The sequence below is a fragment of the Homo sapiens genome, chromosome 5 (genome assembly GCF_000001405.40).
Source record: "Homo sapiens chromosome 5, GRCh38.p14 Primary Assembly".
NCBI lineage: Eukaryota > Metazoa > Chordata > Mammalia > Primates > Hominidae > Homo > Homo sapiens.
This window is the reverse complement of record NC_000005.10, coordinates 63,284,197-63,302,676: the sequence shown is the minus strand read 5'-3', so window position 1 is coordinate 63,302,676 and position 18,480 is coordinate 63,284,197. Positions and strand designations below refer to the sequence as shown.

The 18,480-nt window shown below is 34.5% G+C and overlaps 1 pseudogene; it reads right to left on the bottom strand.

Moving 5' to 3' along the window:
* Positions 633 to 1,155, bottom strand: LOC100420027 (dedicator of cytokinesis 9 pseudogene; annotated as a pseudogene).

Sequence of the window (18,480 nt, the reverse complement as noted above, 5' to 3'; positions counted from 1 at the left end):
TTGGACCCATTGCATTAGAGGTGTTTTTGAGAAAACTGAGTCAAGATATTAAAGACATGGTTGGATTAAAAGGTCAAACATTAGGTGATGATACACATTTTAGAGTCATTGGCATATGGTTGGATAGGAAAGCCATGCATGTGTGATATGTTCCTAAGAAGAGAATATTAAAAAGGAAGGAAAAAGATGGCTGAAACTTGAGGAGCTAAAGGAAAAAGGAAAGGGTCTAAGGTGAAAGTAAATTTGATCCAAGTTTTTGATTGTTTTAAGTTTGGAAGGATGTAAGCTTGCTATGAGCAAAGAATAAATTATTGACTTCAGAAACAGTTTCTTTTCCCAGAAGGCGTATGCTACTTTTTTTGAAATTCATTCTTTTTTAGAAAATACATAATGTATTCCTAGAATTTTTCCTTTTTAGAGTGTTCATCATGAGAGAAATGTATAGTCCATTAAAGTATAATCAGAGATTTATAAGCTAGAAAAAGGGTCAGAAACACCTTGATTTTGGACTTCTGGACTCCTGACTGGGAGAGAATAAATTGCTGCTGCTCTAAGCCACCCAGCTTATGGCACTTTTCCTGGCTTCCCTGGGACCCGATATAGGCTGAGTTGACGTGACCACGCTTACGTACCATGCCCACGTTCACAGGGAAAGGTGACACATCCCTCACATTGATCCGCGGGACGTTTTCAATCAGCAGACCAAACAGAGGCAGGTGGAGGGTGGCTATCCTTGCCTGATGACTCTGAAAAGAAGACATACATGGTAAGTTTGGCCCAGGATTCTGAGAACCGAACTAAGTTGGCGCTGACCATCTCCTTTATTTGGATCCTTCCTATAAAGACAGATATTTGATTTTAGTCCCAAAACAGAGCAAAATCTTAGTGCTGTTACCATGAATTTTCTAACTGATTACTTTCTTTACACCACTTAAAATAAAGGACATTATTAATGCACATTCCTTCCATTGGGGACCACTCACCCTTGAAGCATATCTGTCATCAAAAGAATGCTTTATCAGCAGGTTCTTGAGCACACTGATGGCGATCAGATGGAACTCCTGGAGGGCTGTCCCCACCTCCCTCAGTAACAGTCCCACCAAGAAGTGGTTTCTGCAGAACTCATCTGTTAATGAGTAGTCAAGCTGGAGGTCTGAAATGAGGATAGAAACTACTTGAGTTAGGAAAGATGCAATGCTCTTTGAATAAAAAAAAAAAAAAAAAACTAAGACCCATCCTCTGCATTCAGCCCAACCTGGGTGTCAAGAGATGATCAGACTTGGCTTCAAATGAGAAAGGATCAATTCTACAAGGCTGCTCTACTTCTTAGCATGTGAGGATCTTAAATGAAAACCAAATTTAAATACAATTAAGTGCACTGGATTTTGGAACATATTGCATCCTACATAATTAAATTAGTGAACAGTTTAAGCACCAATTTTTAGACTAGAGCACAGCATATGTTACATTACAAATACAAGTTTGTTATCGACAAAGTTAAAAACGTTATTATACTGGCTAACAGAACTGTATAAGAGCAGTTTGTGCATAACAAACATGTAATTAAATAATAAACATACATGGCTTATTAAAATGGTATTACATGAAAAAAAAAAGAAAAAGGGTCAGAAAAAGAGTAATCTGGAAACAGTAGGAAAACCAGATTGTGATGTCATTGATGCAAATGGAAAGAAAGATTTCCCGGAAAGAAGAAGGGGACAATATTATTGAGTGATGCTGAGGGGTCACGTAAAGTGATCATTAAATACAGTCATTTAATGGCAAAGCAATCATCAAGGATTATTTTGGTAGAGTTTTAAGAATGGAAGCCAAATGTTAATGACTGAGGAGTAAATGAAAAGTGAAAAAATTGAAACTATGGGTGTAAGCTATAATTCTGAGAGACCAATGAAGAAGAGGAAAGGGTCTAAGGTGAAAGTAAGTTTGATTGAAATTTTTGATTATTTTAAGTTGGGAAGGATGTACGCTTGCTATGAGCAAAGAATAAATTATTGACTTCAGAAACAGTTTATTTTCCCGGAAGGCATATGCTACTCTTTTGGTTTGAAATTCATTCTTTTTGGGAAAATGTATAACATATTCATAGAATCTTTCATTCTTAGAGTGTATACATAACAAATTAACTATTTTGAAATTGATCTAAATTGATTACTGATATATGATTGAATTATCTAATCAAATGGTAATTTGTACACTCTTAGAAAAAAAGTCTCATTTGTTTTTTGTAAGTTGTCATTTAGGGTTCAACCAGGGAAGAAAAATCGGCAGGAAAGATAAGATATTTTATATACACACACGTACACACATACATATACATATATATAAATTTGGGGTAGACATAATTCAGCCCATAGCATCATGCTTCTGACTTAACACTTTAAAGAGTGTATGTCAGATCCAGTTACTCAAATTCTACATTTATTTGAGTGACTAGGAATGTCAAACAGTTTCAAATCATTTGTCATTACACTCAATAAAACCAAAGGTAAGAAAAGATTTTCTCTTCATCAATAGAGAGGCAGCATCCTTCCCCTCAATAATCCACACTCAAGGGAGGAAAAAACTTTCTTGGGCAGCTCTTCCTACTCACTTATCACCTTTCCAATGAGGCCTGCCATGACCACATATGCCTTATCTCACCTTCTGCCACAACCAATGTTTAACTTTGATCTATGTTTTTATAGTACCTATCATAGAACTTCTATATATATATGTTTATTTTTTATTTTTTCCTATTGGAATCTAAGCTCCATGAGGACAAGGATTGTTGTCTGGCACTTAGTAATGCTCAATAATGTAATATATCCTTATTCCACTAAAAAAGCTTCAATTTACTTATTTCCATTTTTTATATTATTATGTAGATCAGATCATAGCCCTTAAAAATGGAAAACTAAGGGAAATTGAGACATGAACTTTCCAGGATATGAGGAAAGAATCTAAAAAACAACATCTCTGTGTAATTCTTTTATCAAACAATTAGAGAAATAAATTCAAAGTCCCTTAGAAGAGAATTTATACTGAATGAATTCATATAACTCTCAAATAATATTAGATACGTTATTTTCCTATGAGCATTGTTTTTCCCGTTCAAGAAATATATAGTCATTAGGGAAGATATGGAAGAAAGAAAAGTCTGTAATATAAATATAATTGTAATATGTTAAATAATTCCTTTATGTGCAAAGTAAAGGAAAGCAACATGTCTGGTTATAGAATTAAACTGTTGCTGGAGAAGTTGAGATATGAAATAGAAGGAAATGCTATTTTGACAAGTGGAGGTGGAGGAGGGCCTTCCAGGTGGCCAAAATTAAATCAGAAAACCACAGAGCCATGAAAGCCTGGGTGTAATGAACATTACTTATGCTGATTTGACTGAACCCAGGGTGCATGTTGAGGCATAGTAGAAAATTTAACTAGAAATACACATTGGAGTGAGAGCATGGAAGACCCTAAATGGCCATCATAAGTTGTTGGAATTTCGTAAGTTAGCAACAGGCAGTCATTGAATGTTTCCTGTAGAAGACTCTGCTAGTATGCAAGGAAGATTAATCTGGCAGTATTGAACTGATTTTGGAATTTTGAAAAAAAATTGATTTTTAAAATAAGTTTACTGTTATTAGCTTATAACAGTGAAGCATTTAGAGAAGAAAAGTGCTCTAAAATGATTTGCAAGCCTCTGTTTTCTTATCTCTAAAATGAAGGAATAATAGTACTTAATTCACACAATAATCGTAGAAATTAAATGAGTTAATATATTGCCATTTAAAGTAGTGGCAAAAACTGCAATTACTTTTGCGCCAACGTAATAAGTAAAGCACCATTGAAGTGCTCTGCAAAAGTTTATTATTACTGTTGTTGCTATCTATTTGACCCTGGACAAATTATTTAACCTTTTTGCCTTGGTTTCCTTATCAATAAGATGAAGACAGTAATAGTAACTGAGGTTACAAATATTTTTAGAGCTTAAATATATTAACAGATTAAACTCTTAATTGCCAGGAACATATGAGGTGATTAATAAAAGTTAGCTATTGTTATTATCATTTTTATTACTCTCAATGTATATTAACATAATTGGGAAACATCAGGAAAAAATTTAAAGTTCTAATGTGTTCATACCAAACTTCATATGACATTTTTTCATAATTTAATACTTGACTGATTATAACTACCCACTGAAACTGTCCCCAAATAGCATGATCTTCCTTTCCAAAGTATCTTTTGACCTACACTGCTTACTTATTTGGTTTGGGTCAGCACGAATATGTTGACAGGTTAATAAGTGGAGGAATTTTCCAGGGGAAAAAAAAAGATGATATTTACTAAATACTTAGAAAAAGTTTTAAGGACTTTTCTGGTGGGGGGAAAATAGACATTGGAAATAAAATTTTAGGATAATTATCCTAATCAACAAATTAATCCATCAGCAAATTTTAATTGTATGGTTACTTTGTACAAAGTACTAAAGTATGTGCACTGAAAGGTATGAAGAAATTAATTAAGGATAAGGCATAATTCTAATTTAAATTAGATTTTTTAAAAATTCTTTAGAATTTAAAGTTTTCTAAAGCTGCATAGCAAATTACTGCAAACTTTACTTAAAAAAATAGAAATGTTTTATCTCATGGTCTTTGTGTGTCAAGGGCTTGGGTAGAGTATAGCTGATTCTCTGTTCAGGGGTCCTTAGGCTGAAATTAAGGTGCTGTATGGGGTGCATTCTCATCTGGAGATTAGGATATTTTTTCTGGCTCATTCAGGTTGTTGGCAGGATTCAGTTCCTTTTGAGGGAGGAACCGAGATCCCCATTTCTTGTTGGCTGTGGGGATGGGAGTGGCTTTTAACTCCTAAAAGCTGCCTTTGAGTCCTGGTCACATGCCCCTCTCACAACATGGAAGCTTATTCTTTAAAGCCAACAGGAGAATCTTTCTCCAGGATGCTAAGAAGGAGTCTTATATAACTTAATGTAATCACTTGAGTAACTATACAAACTTTGCTATGCCATTAGCATCATTAATCATATTAATGGTGCCACCCCCAGTCAAGAGTATGAAATTATACATGGTGGGCATGCCAGGGGGCAGGAATTTGGGGACCATCTTAGAATTACACCTATCACTACATGAAAATATAAAAATATCTGAAATATCTGACAGTAAAATGTAAGGGGGCAAACCCTGGGAGGCAAGGCTTACAGGGGAGAGTAGAGAGAGGGGCGGGCATTGGGGAGAATTTCCACAGAGAAAATAGAAGAGGACAAAGAGTCTGAACAAGATTCGTGTTGGCCATCATTTCACCAAAACTGCTTGCCTCCGTCAATATTCCTTCTATCCTAGAAATTCTGACTCAGCACCTACCCAGAAACAGCGTAATGGGAATTTGTATGTTATATTGGTATTTCCTGAGTATTTTCTCACGTAATGTTATTTCACATTTCTTTAATTCCACTTCAAGAATTGAGAACTTCCCATGTCCTCATCCCCATTTTCTCTTTTTATGACCCCCGCCATTCCTAACATACGGTGCCAAACTCAGTGCCGCTGAACTCACTGCTCCCCAATCCCAATCTTTGATCAAAAATCAGACACAGCAGGAAGATCTAGAATTGTCTTTGGCTACACAAGAGAAAGCTAGCTGGATCACCTTCATGGCCCTTAGTTTCACTTCAAGTAAACAGACCCTTCAAACAAGTGTTTTTCACCAAATCTTTCAACATTATCCAGTGATTAAACCAAGGAGTTGCTAAAGAATACTAAAGAAAATGGTTGAAGTAGTGAATTTTCCATTGTTGGGCAAAGGCCCTGATATGTTTTCAGTGCCTAAAGCCCATTATGTATGGAGCTTTCTGAGGAAATATATCCCCAGAATTTTGAAGATAGAATGAAATGAATGTTTTCCAGAAATTTTATTAAGGAGCTTGTCTTTTTTTTTTTTTTCCCTAGCCTTATCCATGCTCTTTGGGAAGGACAATAACAGGTTGTGTCACCTAGTCTTCTGCTTTTTTTAACACAGCATGCAACTTTCATCCTACACATACTCTATTCATACCAAGGAATAAGAAATGTTAAGTGCCTTCTATGTACTTTGTGAGCTGATTTACTCCTCACAATTAACTCATAAAGTTAGCACATTAGTATCCCGACTTTAGGGATGAAAATTCAAGGTTAGAGACGATAAATTGCTTAAGATCACCTAACTAGTAAATTGGAGAGCCTAGTTTTAAACCCACAACAAATGGGATCAACATATTGACAATGATGAGAGAAGTCATCGTATAACAACCATTGGAAAAAAAGTTTAATGCTAGAAAAGATAGTTCAATTTGAATGTGAAAGTATTATGCTGAAAATATATTTAAAGACTGTTACTCAGAGATTAGAGAGGGCAGTGGGCATTTATTTTTTTATCTTCTCAGAAACATATTTCTCTAGGCCGGATAATTTTCTACTACTCTACACCCACTAAGTGGTTCTGATGGAAGCCCCAGTTCCAGTACCCTATCTCCTTGACTATAGTGATTTCTCTGGCGACAATCTCTTAATCAAAGCAGAACCAATTGTAGCACTTAAGTTACTTTCTGAACACAACTGACAAGAAAGAGTTTATTTCCTCTTAGATAACTACACTGCAGAAATATGAATATGAAGTAGGCTGAGACCATGCTCCTTACCACACAAAGTTAGCTTGTATGCAGAAGATAAGAATGAAGCTAACATAGACAGGAATCAAGAGATGGGAAGAGAGATCTGACAGCTTGCCAGTCCTTGGATTCACTTGTCTCCCAGATGAGGTTTACTCCTTTTTTTAACCAGGTTACCTACATATGCCAAAAACTCTCCTTGTTCATTTAAACTAACTCACTTTAAAAGCCCTAAAGAATAGAAGTTGACACAATAAGAGGTCTGTACCATTTACAGGGTTGTGAGATCATGGAGAACCATACTAGAAAAATAAGGTAATTAGAAAGGAAGATCTGAGAGACATCATGAAGAAAGTATCCACCAACTTTGAAACAGGATGACCTTGACAGGATAAAGAAAAACGGAGATTCCAAGTTTAAGAGAGAAGCAAGATAACTGGTTAGGGCTTGATGACATCTTATGATTTACTGTGCTGTGGTAGATAGATACAAAGGTATCAACTAAATTTTGCTCTATACCTAGGACACACACCAGCTCTCTGTGCAAGGCACTTAATGCCTTCACTAAGCTACTGCACAAGCTGACTCTGACAACTCTCCAAAGCAGCCATATTTGTCTGATGTTTACAATTCCTTGCAGACCCCAACAACCAAAACGTCGTCATGCCACTGTTTATGGACTTACTCTCTTCCCCTTGAATGTTCCCTCCTCTAAGTGGTCCAACGTAAGGTCAAATCCTGCACTTTCTTCAAAACCTCTAAACCTTTCCTGGCATCGTCTTTATCAGATAGCACATCTCTATGAGACTTAGAAAATACTGTTTTGCCTTGCTATTTTTCTTGTTGTATGTAAGTAAATCCAAACATACCTAACAAATTGAAGAGCCATCTATTTTTTGAGCCCTAGTCGCATAATGTTTTTTTTTTAATATATGTGTGTGCATATGTTTTTGACACATTTCAAATAGTATATTAACTACAGCATGCCCTGGACAAAGAAAAACACTTGAGTATAAATTTACTTATACTTCATTTATTTCTATTTCTCTTATTTTAAAATTTCAAATGAAAAACTCCCTTTTCTATTAAAAGCAGTTCTATAGTTTCACAATATTCAGGTAGGTAGGTCATTACACCACTTTCTCTTTATCGTAAGAGACTCAGTTAGGAGTTTAGGTTTGGGCCCTGCCACTTCCTAGCTATGTGACCTTGAGCAAGTTCATTTTCCCTATACATCCCAATTTTCCTCTCAGTAAAGCTCAGGTAATAATAGCTCCTCTCTCATATGGATTTTATAAAGATTCAATAAATTAATGCATGTGAAGTCCTTAAAAGAGTTTTTGGCACATGGAAGACCTCAGTTTCATCCATAGTATTACATCATCATCATGATGATCATTTTCTATGTCTCTAAGAAATATTGTAGTAGTACCAGAGTTTTAACAAAATCTCTTGTTTCATATGCAGAAAGTTACTGTTTAAACAGGCACCATATTTAAATTGAAAACAATGGAAAAGAATTGAAAAAAATGTTTTTCTGTACAAAAAGAGGTCTTAGGATAAGTAATTTTTTACCACTACAAAGTGCAAATAGTCTGAGATGAGAGATTTATGCAAATGTCCCTGAACTATAACATACAGAACTTTCTTGTGACCTGAATTGCTGGTAAAAATACTGGTTCTCTGTGTTTTTCTTAGTAGAAGCCTCAGGGATTCTGTTTCTGTTTGCACATTATTTTCATGATATTGTTGCTATTTTTGCAAAGAAGGAATTAAGCTTTCAACAAATCTTTATTCAAATTGGCTTCATATGTCTCATTCTTAATGCTACAGTCAACAAAGAAAATCTGGATTTCCTTGTGCCAAAGTACAATTTTTAAAATGCCAAAAACTTAACAGAAAATGAGTTAATAAAAAGATAAAGACTTACATTTTCAATAAGATAATGTCATCTGCTTTCAGGATTTTTTAAGTCACATGGTTTAATTAATTACAATTAGAATATACCTGCTCATTTGAATAACAAGTTTCTATATTTTAAGTTTTTAAAAATAATTTCCTTTCATCTTCAGACAGTGTCAAAATTATGTAATGCCTTCTCTAACAACTAATCCTTTCCCTCCCCCCTTGAAAAATACATATATGCTCACTTTACAAATTTTAAACAATCCTGAAAATTATAATTTAATGTTCATTGAATATTTAATGTTTTCATTAAAATATTTAGTGTTTAAACAATTTTATGCTATCAGAAAAATACGTTTTTGTTAGAAAAACATAGTACATATCATCAATTTTAAAATAATACAAAAATTAAAATTTGATAGGTGCCCACTGCTCAGTAAATATTTAGCTAACATTTTGATGTACATACTTCCACATGTCCATATATAAGCATGTTTTCAAGTAGTAGAACAATAGAACAATATTGGTTTTTTTTTTAGTAGTCTGCCTTTCAACTTAACGAATAGCATGCATATTTTCCCATGTCATCAAATTTTTATTAAGGCAGTTTTTCATTTTCATAAAGTATGATACTTGCAAAACAAAAATTATGTGACAATGTGTTATTTGAAAACCAAACATTCTGTAGTAGAATGCATTTGGGAGAAATCAGGTTAGATGGAGTTAACCATACTTATTTATTGCAGTACATCTCAGCTTTTCAAAGCTAATCTGCATTGATTCTCCAAATGATAGATTTGTTTCCCAGATATGTTGGTCATGGCCCTTTTGTATTAGTCAGGGTTCTCCAGAGAAACAGAACCAATATGATACACACACACACACACGTATGTATGATATATACATGATCACATGCACACACACACACACACACACACATATATATTTGGAGAGAGAGAGAGACAAAGAAGAGAAAGAGATATTTCATATGGGAATTGGCTCACATGATTACAGAAGCCAAGAAGTCCTATGATCTGCTGTCTGCAAGCTGTAGAACTAGGAAAGCCTGCAGTACAATTCAGTGATATTTTGAGGACCTAAGAACCAGTTGGAATGGAAGGTTGAGGGAAATCTGATGTAAGACCTAGAATTAAAAGTCCTGAAGACCAAGAGCTCCAATGTCCAAGGCAGGAGAAGATGAATGTCCCAGCTTAAAAAGAGATCAAGAATTGTCCCTTCCTCTGCTTTTTTGTTCTATTAGAACCCTCAACATATTGGATGATGCTCACCCACATTGGTCAGGGCGGATCTTCTTTACTCAGTCCACTGATTCAAATGTTAATCTCTTCTGGTAACACACTCATAGACATACTCAGAAATCATTTTTTACAGGTTATCTGGGTATCTCATAACCTAGTCATACTGACACACACATAAAATTAATCAATCATCATGACCCTCCACTCTCTACCTGAAATGTTTCTCTTGGAGTACTGTTTGTCAGAACGTCTTCTAGGAAATGTTATTTTAAGCAATAATTTAGTTAGAATGATTTCATGGTATTGCTTTGTTTGCATAGACCATAATTTATTTGACCATTCTTCATCTACTAGACATTTATTTCCAAATACTTGCTATTATTTTTTAAAATGAACTTACTTTTCCAATATCATGTCTTCCAAAATGTGTATTAATTTGCTTTCACACCAGTAGAATTAAAATGCCATAAGCATTGGCTAACATTAGGCTTTCATTAGGAGTTTTATAAATATTTGAAAATAGGTCAATTAGGCCAAATAGGTCAATAGAAAAGAATGAGCCAAAAATAAATGAAGTAAAGCTATCTTTATCAAAGGATGACATGATAATATACCTAGAATGTCCCAAAGAATAATAAATTAATTTAAGCATTAAAAGAATGCAGTGAAGTATTAGGATTAAAAAATTTACATATGAAATAGCTTTCACGTACACAAACAACCATTTTGATAAAGTAAACTTCATTTATAAGGGAAACACAGAAGATTATATTTCTAGCAATAAAGTTGACAAGAAATACGCAAAATCTGTTTGAAGAAAATGTAAGAACCCTCTTGAAAGATAAGAATAACTTAAACAAATTGAAAGACATACCCTGTTCTTGGATAGGACATCTCAATATTATAAAGATGTCAGATGTCTAAGTCTATAAAGTCAATGGAATCCCAGTGACAACAAAGACACATTATTTTATTGAATTAGAGAAGTTGAATCTAAATTTTATATGTGAAAATAAATAAGGAAGAGTGGCCATAAAAACATCAGAAAAGGGTTTATTAGTATTTATTAATAAATCTTAGTATTAATAAAATACAAAGATTAGTATTTATTAGCCTATTAAGGCCCTATAATTAAAACAATGTTGTACTGACATGTGAATAGACAAATTGATCAATGGAATAGAATTAATTCCAAATTAGACTTACATTTGTATATAAATGTAACGTAGGATACAGGCAATATCACAAATTGCTGAAGGTAAAGATGAAATGTTTAATAAATGGTATTAAGAAAACTGAGTAGCCATTTGGAAAAATCAGATCCATAGCTCATACCATACACAGAATATGCTCCAAATAGATTAGTAATCTAAATGTAAAAATGGAAACCATGTAATTTCTAGAAGAAAATACAGGTAAATTTTTGTTTAAACTGTGTGTGGGGAAAAGCTTTCTAACTATAACTCAAATTTGAGTCAATAAAAGAATAGATCAATATAGTTGTCTATGTAAACACGATATTGCATGTAAAAAAATCATTGCTCATGTACAAAAGATTTGGGCAAAAGAAATACAGGAAAGAGAAACCAAAAACTAAAGAGATTGGTAATCTACATGTAGCAGGTAAGAAAGAGTGGCAAGAAGGGGGCGATGGGAACAGAGTAGCAGGAAAGAAGAGGGAGTAACACTCCCTGAGTATATCTTATGTATATGGACTCTTAGAAATTATCCTATACAGCCAACTTATTTTTTTTAATTTACATCACTAAAAAGCACCATACGTAAACTGGCAAACTAGGGGAAAATGTTTGAAACATGTACCACAGAAGAAGTGCCAATGTCACTTATATATGAAGAATTTTATAAATTGAGGGACAAAAAAAACCCCACAAAAATCTGATAGAAAAATGGGGGAAAAAAGACATGAACAGACCATTTTTAAAAAGAGACAAAAGTTGCTCTCAAATATATAAAAATATCCAAATTCACTCATAATTAAAGAAATACAAATTAAAGCAACATATGATATGCCATTCTAATCAATCACATTGGCAAACATTTCAAAACTATGAAAATACTTTCTGCTGGTGAAGCTGTGGGAAACAGACACTAACATATATTGCTAATGGGCAAGCAAATGAGTACAGCCCTTCTGGATGGTAACTTGGCAATATCTAATAATAACATTATATATTTATTTATTTTTGGCCCAGCATCCCACTTATCAGAATAGATCCTGTAGACATACCTTCAGAACATATGAAAATACATATACACAAAGCTATAGTAGCATTGTTTATATTGTAAAAAATACTGGAAACAACTTACTGGCCCACCCATAAGAGAGTGTTTGAATTAACTATGTACAGCCACGCAAAGGATTATTATTTGGCTATATATTTTTAAATGATGAAGATCTCTATGAACTGAAATACAGTGATTTCCAGACATCTTGTTAAGTGAAAAAGTCCCAGCCTCCATGAGTATCCATAGTTTGCCATCTTTCAAGCCAAAAAAAAAAAAAAAATACACATGTATCTGCTCATGTGCAAAAGATTTTGGCAAAAGAAACATAGGAAACAGAAAACAGAAAACAGAAATCAAGGAGATTGGTAACCTACATGCAGCAGGTGGGAAAGAGTGGAGAAAAGGGGGAGATGGGAAGAGAGTGGCAAGAAAGAAGAAGGACTAACACTCCTTGAGTATATCTTATGTATATAGACTCTTAGAAATCATAGTGATATTTCACATACTCTTCACATACAAAAAAGTAGACACTAAGTTTATAAAGGCAATCCAAAGTGGGATTCAAACACTAACATTAGGCATTCATTAGGAGTTTTGTAAATATTTGAAAATAGGTCAATTAGGCCAAATAGGTCAATTAGGCCAAATAAGTCAATTAGGCCAAATAGAAAAGAATGAGCCAAAAATAAATGAAGTAAAGCTATCTTTACTTTACTATCTAACAAGCCTGACTATTTTAGGTTGTGGAACAATCTCCACACTCAAGAGTGGAGGAGTGGAAGAAGAAAATTACTGTAAGTACTTGTGGAAAACAGTATCTTGACTGAATATCATACAGCTAAAGACAAGAGCAGCTGTGTATAAAAGCTGTAACCTAATTGTAAAAGTGCTTCCCACAGGGATATAGGTTAGCAATTTCAAAACTACCATAATAGAACAAATAAGTAAATATATTACAGATAATGAGAGCCAAGTTTTCAGTGTGGGAGAAAGATGTTATAAATCTTAAGCCCTGGGAGAAGAGGGCCTTAAACCCTGTGGTGTTGGGATAGAATCTGAGGTAGCGGTATAAACTCATGGCTTTTAACATAGGTACCAATTAACAGGAAATACAGATGTGTGTATCTGTAGATTTGTATAAATACACATATTTATTAGTCCTCTCTGCTCAGGCCTAGAAGCAATGACCCAGATTCTATGAGCACACCTAAAACCCAGATCTTGATAGTTAAGTATCATTTTCCAAAAAAGAGAGAGGAAGCAGGGCTCCTCAGAGAAGTTGTTGATTCCAGAGATGGGGCACGGAAAATAAAAAATGAGCCTCAAACATCCGAACATCCTCACTATACAAAAAAGCAAGGAAGTGCTCAAAAACAAAGAACCAATCTAAAGGACTTCCTGATAACCAAAGTGGGAACTATCTGAGCAACAACAGCAATGGCAAATAATAATGGTAGTATTGGATTTTAATCTATAAAGTATTCATCTGTAAATAACAACTACTTGTTTTTATCTGTATTAAAATATTCATCTATAGATTAAAATAAACATCTATGAATATGAATGAAAAATAAATAGGAAGAGATAGCTCTTAAAGTACAGGTCAAGTTAATTAATATAGAAAGAAGAATAAAATAGAGCATCACCATTAAACAAACACCACAATTATAATAGTGACACACAAGACCCAAGATAAACATCACCTAATGAGACATATTGACATAATGAACCCCTTGATACAATATAATTACAAATACACAGCATTTTTGTGACATTCTTCCCACAAATGCATAACCTCTTTCCAATCATGAGAAAACTCCAAATTGAGGGATATTCTACAACTATGTTAAGGTCATGAAAAACTAAGAGACACTGAGAGTTATTAAAAATGGGGGAGAATAAAAAGAAATAACAACAAAATTCAATATGCAACACTGGATAGGATCCAGTAAGAGAAAACAGATATTAATGGAAAACTTGGTGAAATTTGAATAAGGTCTATAGTTTAGTCAATAATATCATGCCATTGTTATTTTTCTGCTCTTGATAATAGTACAATGGTTATATATACTGTTAATATTATAGATAGAGGGGTGAAGGGCAAAAGGGAACTATTTGTATGATTTTTTTCAACTTTTCTGTAAGAATAAAATTAGTTCAAATGAAAACTTAAAGAAATTCTGTTGCATTCTAAAAAGTTTGTATGATTTTGAGTGTCAGGAATCTGCCCCAGATAAGCAAGTGCTTATGTATTTTCTCTCCTTGAAGGAAGGTGTTTTCCTTCAGATTTCAGGAATGATTTTTTTCCCTGTGACCTCAGCTCACTGACAAATTCAAAAAAGGTTTTGGTTTTGCAGAATATTCAATAATTTCTTTTGTTGTGAATATGGGAGCAATGCTCTGTTCAGCTTACTACATGCTAAGCAGAAGCTGAAAATCCTAAATATCCTTTTAATTGCATAACTGAGCTTTCAAAAAAGTAAAGGAAATCAACAGGGACCCAAAACAAAGAGAAAACACAAAACAAATCTACAGATGTGGCAAATTAAAGAGGGCTCTTATTGCCCAGTGTGTCAAAAAATTTGCAACCATCTTTAATATGACATATTCATGAATCAGAATCAGCTGCATCAACTAAAAGACGTATTAATAACATAAACCTAACCTGGTACATTTTTAAAAGATTAATGTGAGTGTAGCCTGGAGAAATACTTCAGCTGGGTACAAAGCAGGTCAAAATGTATAGATTTTATAATTTCTGGGATTATCCACATTTCCCAAGTAACTAAGTTATTATTTACTTGAGGTAATTAAGTTTAAGTGTTGCTATAATTTGTGCCATGATTTTAGTTATTAACTTATTTGGTTACAAGAATAATTGTATTTGTTAAAATGAAATCCTTCTAGTAATGAAGCTAAAAGTCATATGTAGACAAAAACAAATGTAAAGGAAAGAATTATGAGAAATGCCCTTAACAATAATGGTTTTCAAAATTTTTTTATCTTGGACTAAAGTTTAGGAAATATTCATCCTGCTTGGAATCAATTTAAAAATGAGCCTTGCAGTCAGGATTTGGCCATGAGGGAAGGTTAGTGAGCCTCCAGTATCATGAAGTATTGGGTGAGTTTCAGAAACTTAAAATGGCAAATAGAATTCCAGAGAATTAGAGAATTAAAATCTAAGGGCTTTGTATGAAATGATTCTAATTTACAATATAAAAATATATGATATTAGATATGTGTATTACATTATAAAACATATAATAAAACTCAAAAATTTTCTAAGTATCATTTAGAGACTTATTACCTAATATTATAAAATAAAGAAAAGCTTGTGACACTTACATTGCCAAATGTTAATGGTGGACTGATGCTAACAGAAAGACTAGACAAGACCAGTACTTGAATATATAAAAATGTACTCATCTAAAAGATACAAAAGGAAGTAGAAGCACAACCTTCCATTGTCCTAAGATTCTCATCAGGATCGACGTGCCCAGTTGCAGATGACAACATCTGAGTGAGTGAGTCACACAATGCATTCAGGAGGGACGGCTGTTCCCCCTAAACCCAATCTCATATTCATAAGGCTAAAGAACTTGTGCCTTCTAATCTAGAGAGCACCTGATCTCAGCCAGGTATAGTTTATTCTTAGGGTTATACAATAGAAACCATGATTACAGAGTGTGATGCATTATCTTACATCCAGGCACCAGCATTGTTCCTCTATCACTTTCAGCCTCTCCTGACTAATGTGGCCTGGCCCAGGTGCATTTATAGTCTTAGACCTGAGGACCCAGAACAAAGTTCATTTACCCAGTTTCACGTATTCTTTTACAACAACACAAAATGGACTTAGACCCAGTTTTCTCAGAAAATAAAGTTAACAGCCCTTGAATAAATATAAAGCCCACCCCAAAGGTAAATTATGGATTTATTTTTTCTTCATTCTTAAAAGCTAGTTTGTTATCAGTATCATGTTTGATCTCTGTGTTAATCATGAATTTACCATTAGTAAGTAGATTATATTAGATTGTATTTGTATGTAATAAATAAAAAGACAATTGATAATTTTTTAATTGAAATGAACAAATGTTTAGTAAGTTGTTCATGGGAAATAAAGACAATATTTTGAAAATTAAATGAATTACTTAAATATTTTGGATAAAAATTAGATGGAAACATTTTCCCCTCTGGTGATAGTAAAAGTTTTCTTCATTAGATGTATTCTAAGCAGAGATTGTCTGCCTACTGTAGAGGTATCTCTGGCTAAAGGTTGTGAAACTTCCCTACCGTGGCATACAACAGGGATTCTGATTAAAATGGGTTTAGTAGTGTGTCACCATCACATCCTTTAAAAAAAATTAGAAAATGTAATTATGATAGATGGGGAAGGATTCTTACCAGCATCAAAAGCAGGTTTCAAATTAAAACATGGCCCATATGCTGATTCCTTTCACACTCACCTCTACCCTACTAAACACACTCACATACCGTACACACCTACAAAATTCAGACACACATTGTCTTTGTCCATTTTTTGTTGCTGTAAAGGAATACCTGAAACTGGGCAACTTATTTTTTAAAAAAGATGTATTTCGCCTGTGGTTCCACAGGCTGAGAAATACAATGATATGGCCCTGGCTTCTAGTGAGGGCTTTCTTGCTGCATCACAACATAGTTCAGTAAGTCAAAGGGGAAGTGAACACATGAAAGAGGGGGAAACCTGAGGGGCATCCTAGCTTTATGACAACTCACTCTCATGAGGACTACTCCAGACTTGGAAGAGTGAGAACTCATTCACCACCAAGAACAGCACCAAGACACTCATGAGGGAATCTGTCCCCATAACCCAAGCACCTCCCATGAGGCCACATCTCCCAATACTACCACACCAAGGATAAAATTTCAACATGAGCTTGGGTAGGGACAAACCATATCCAAACCATAGCATGCATACACATACCCCTTAAAAAGGGGGACACAAAACTAAGAGCAAACTAACGTAGTTTAAAATATACATAAAAACAAAAGGCATTCCATATACTTTCTTTTTTTCTTGACTTGGGCTTTTTAGGCCCCTTCTTCCCATCTGTACTAACTCAAAAATAAGACAAAAGTCAACATAACGAGGTCAAAATCTCTCCTTTGTTACTTGCAAAATTTAGGCTGGAGTACATAGCCTAATATACAGCCAAGTAGACTTTCTAGTACTGAGTCTCAGAATTAGAATAAATTGCTTTACCCGTCAAGATCCACCAAAGGGGTTTTCAAAAGATGTGGTCTGAATGTGGATAAACCAACAAGGGATAAAAGACAATAGTTAGGAACAAGAAAGAATGAAGCTGTATTGCCCCTAGGACTGAAGAGGGAGGAGAGTAGGCAGTAACCAAAATCCAGGAGAGAGTTGCCTACTGAAGGAACTACCTTGAGCAAAGCCTCACTCAAGGGATACATGCAGTTCATGGCAACCTAACGAGGAGAGACCTAAAGGAATAAATACCTTGACCTCACTCTCCTTTCTGATCTCCTCTCAAGGCCTCCCTTTCACTGAACCCAACTGGAAGTCAGTGATAAAGGTTGCCTGTTATGGACCCCAACACTTAGCCTCCTGAAGCAGAAACCAGGGTTAAGAAGGGTAAATAGTTTTCTAAAGGGACAAACAGAAGACTGGCACACTTAACAGTTGTAGACTTCCTGAGTCAGAGTAGTAGAAGAGAACCTTACTCCCTGCAGCCACCTAGTTTCCCAAAGAAGGATGAGGGCCTCAGGTATGCAAGCCTATTTTTTTCTTTCCAGCATCACCAGACATGCCATTATTCCCTTCCACTCAGGGGGAAAATGCATAAGGTGATAGAGGTTGAAGTGCTGCACTAATAGGACCCTTTTCACACTGAGGGAAAAAAAATAAGGCAATAAAAATTCCCCAAAAGCCGTTCCTCCAATTTTTCTTCTAATAGCCCATTGGGCTTAACCATTAAGCTTTTAGTCAACGAGAGATCCATCTGTCTCCCATCAGTGAAGGATATCAGTAGTTTCCAGTAGGTCAGCTTCCTCTCCCCACACCACAAACCCTTTGTGATGCTATACAACCAATACCAACCACTGCCCCAATGGAATATTCTTCAGGAACCCAGTAGGCAATGCCTTGGAAAGCATAAGACATTAATTAAACCAGTCCCAAGCTATTCTTAACTCAAGGCTAAATATGTATTCACTATTCACTTCCCATTTCAAATTATGTCTAGCCATGTTGTCCAGTAGAGCCCACAAGAGATTTAATGAGATTAAATTTCAACATTAATACATTCAAGTTAAAAAAGATGTCAAAATAGAAATGTCCTAAATTTGGATGTAAACCTCCTCCACGTATCTAACTCCCAGAGATAAAATCAAGTCTAAAAATTA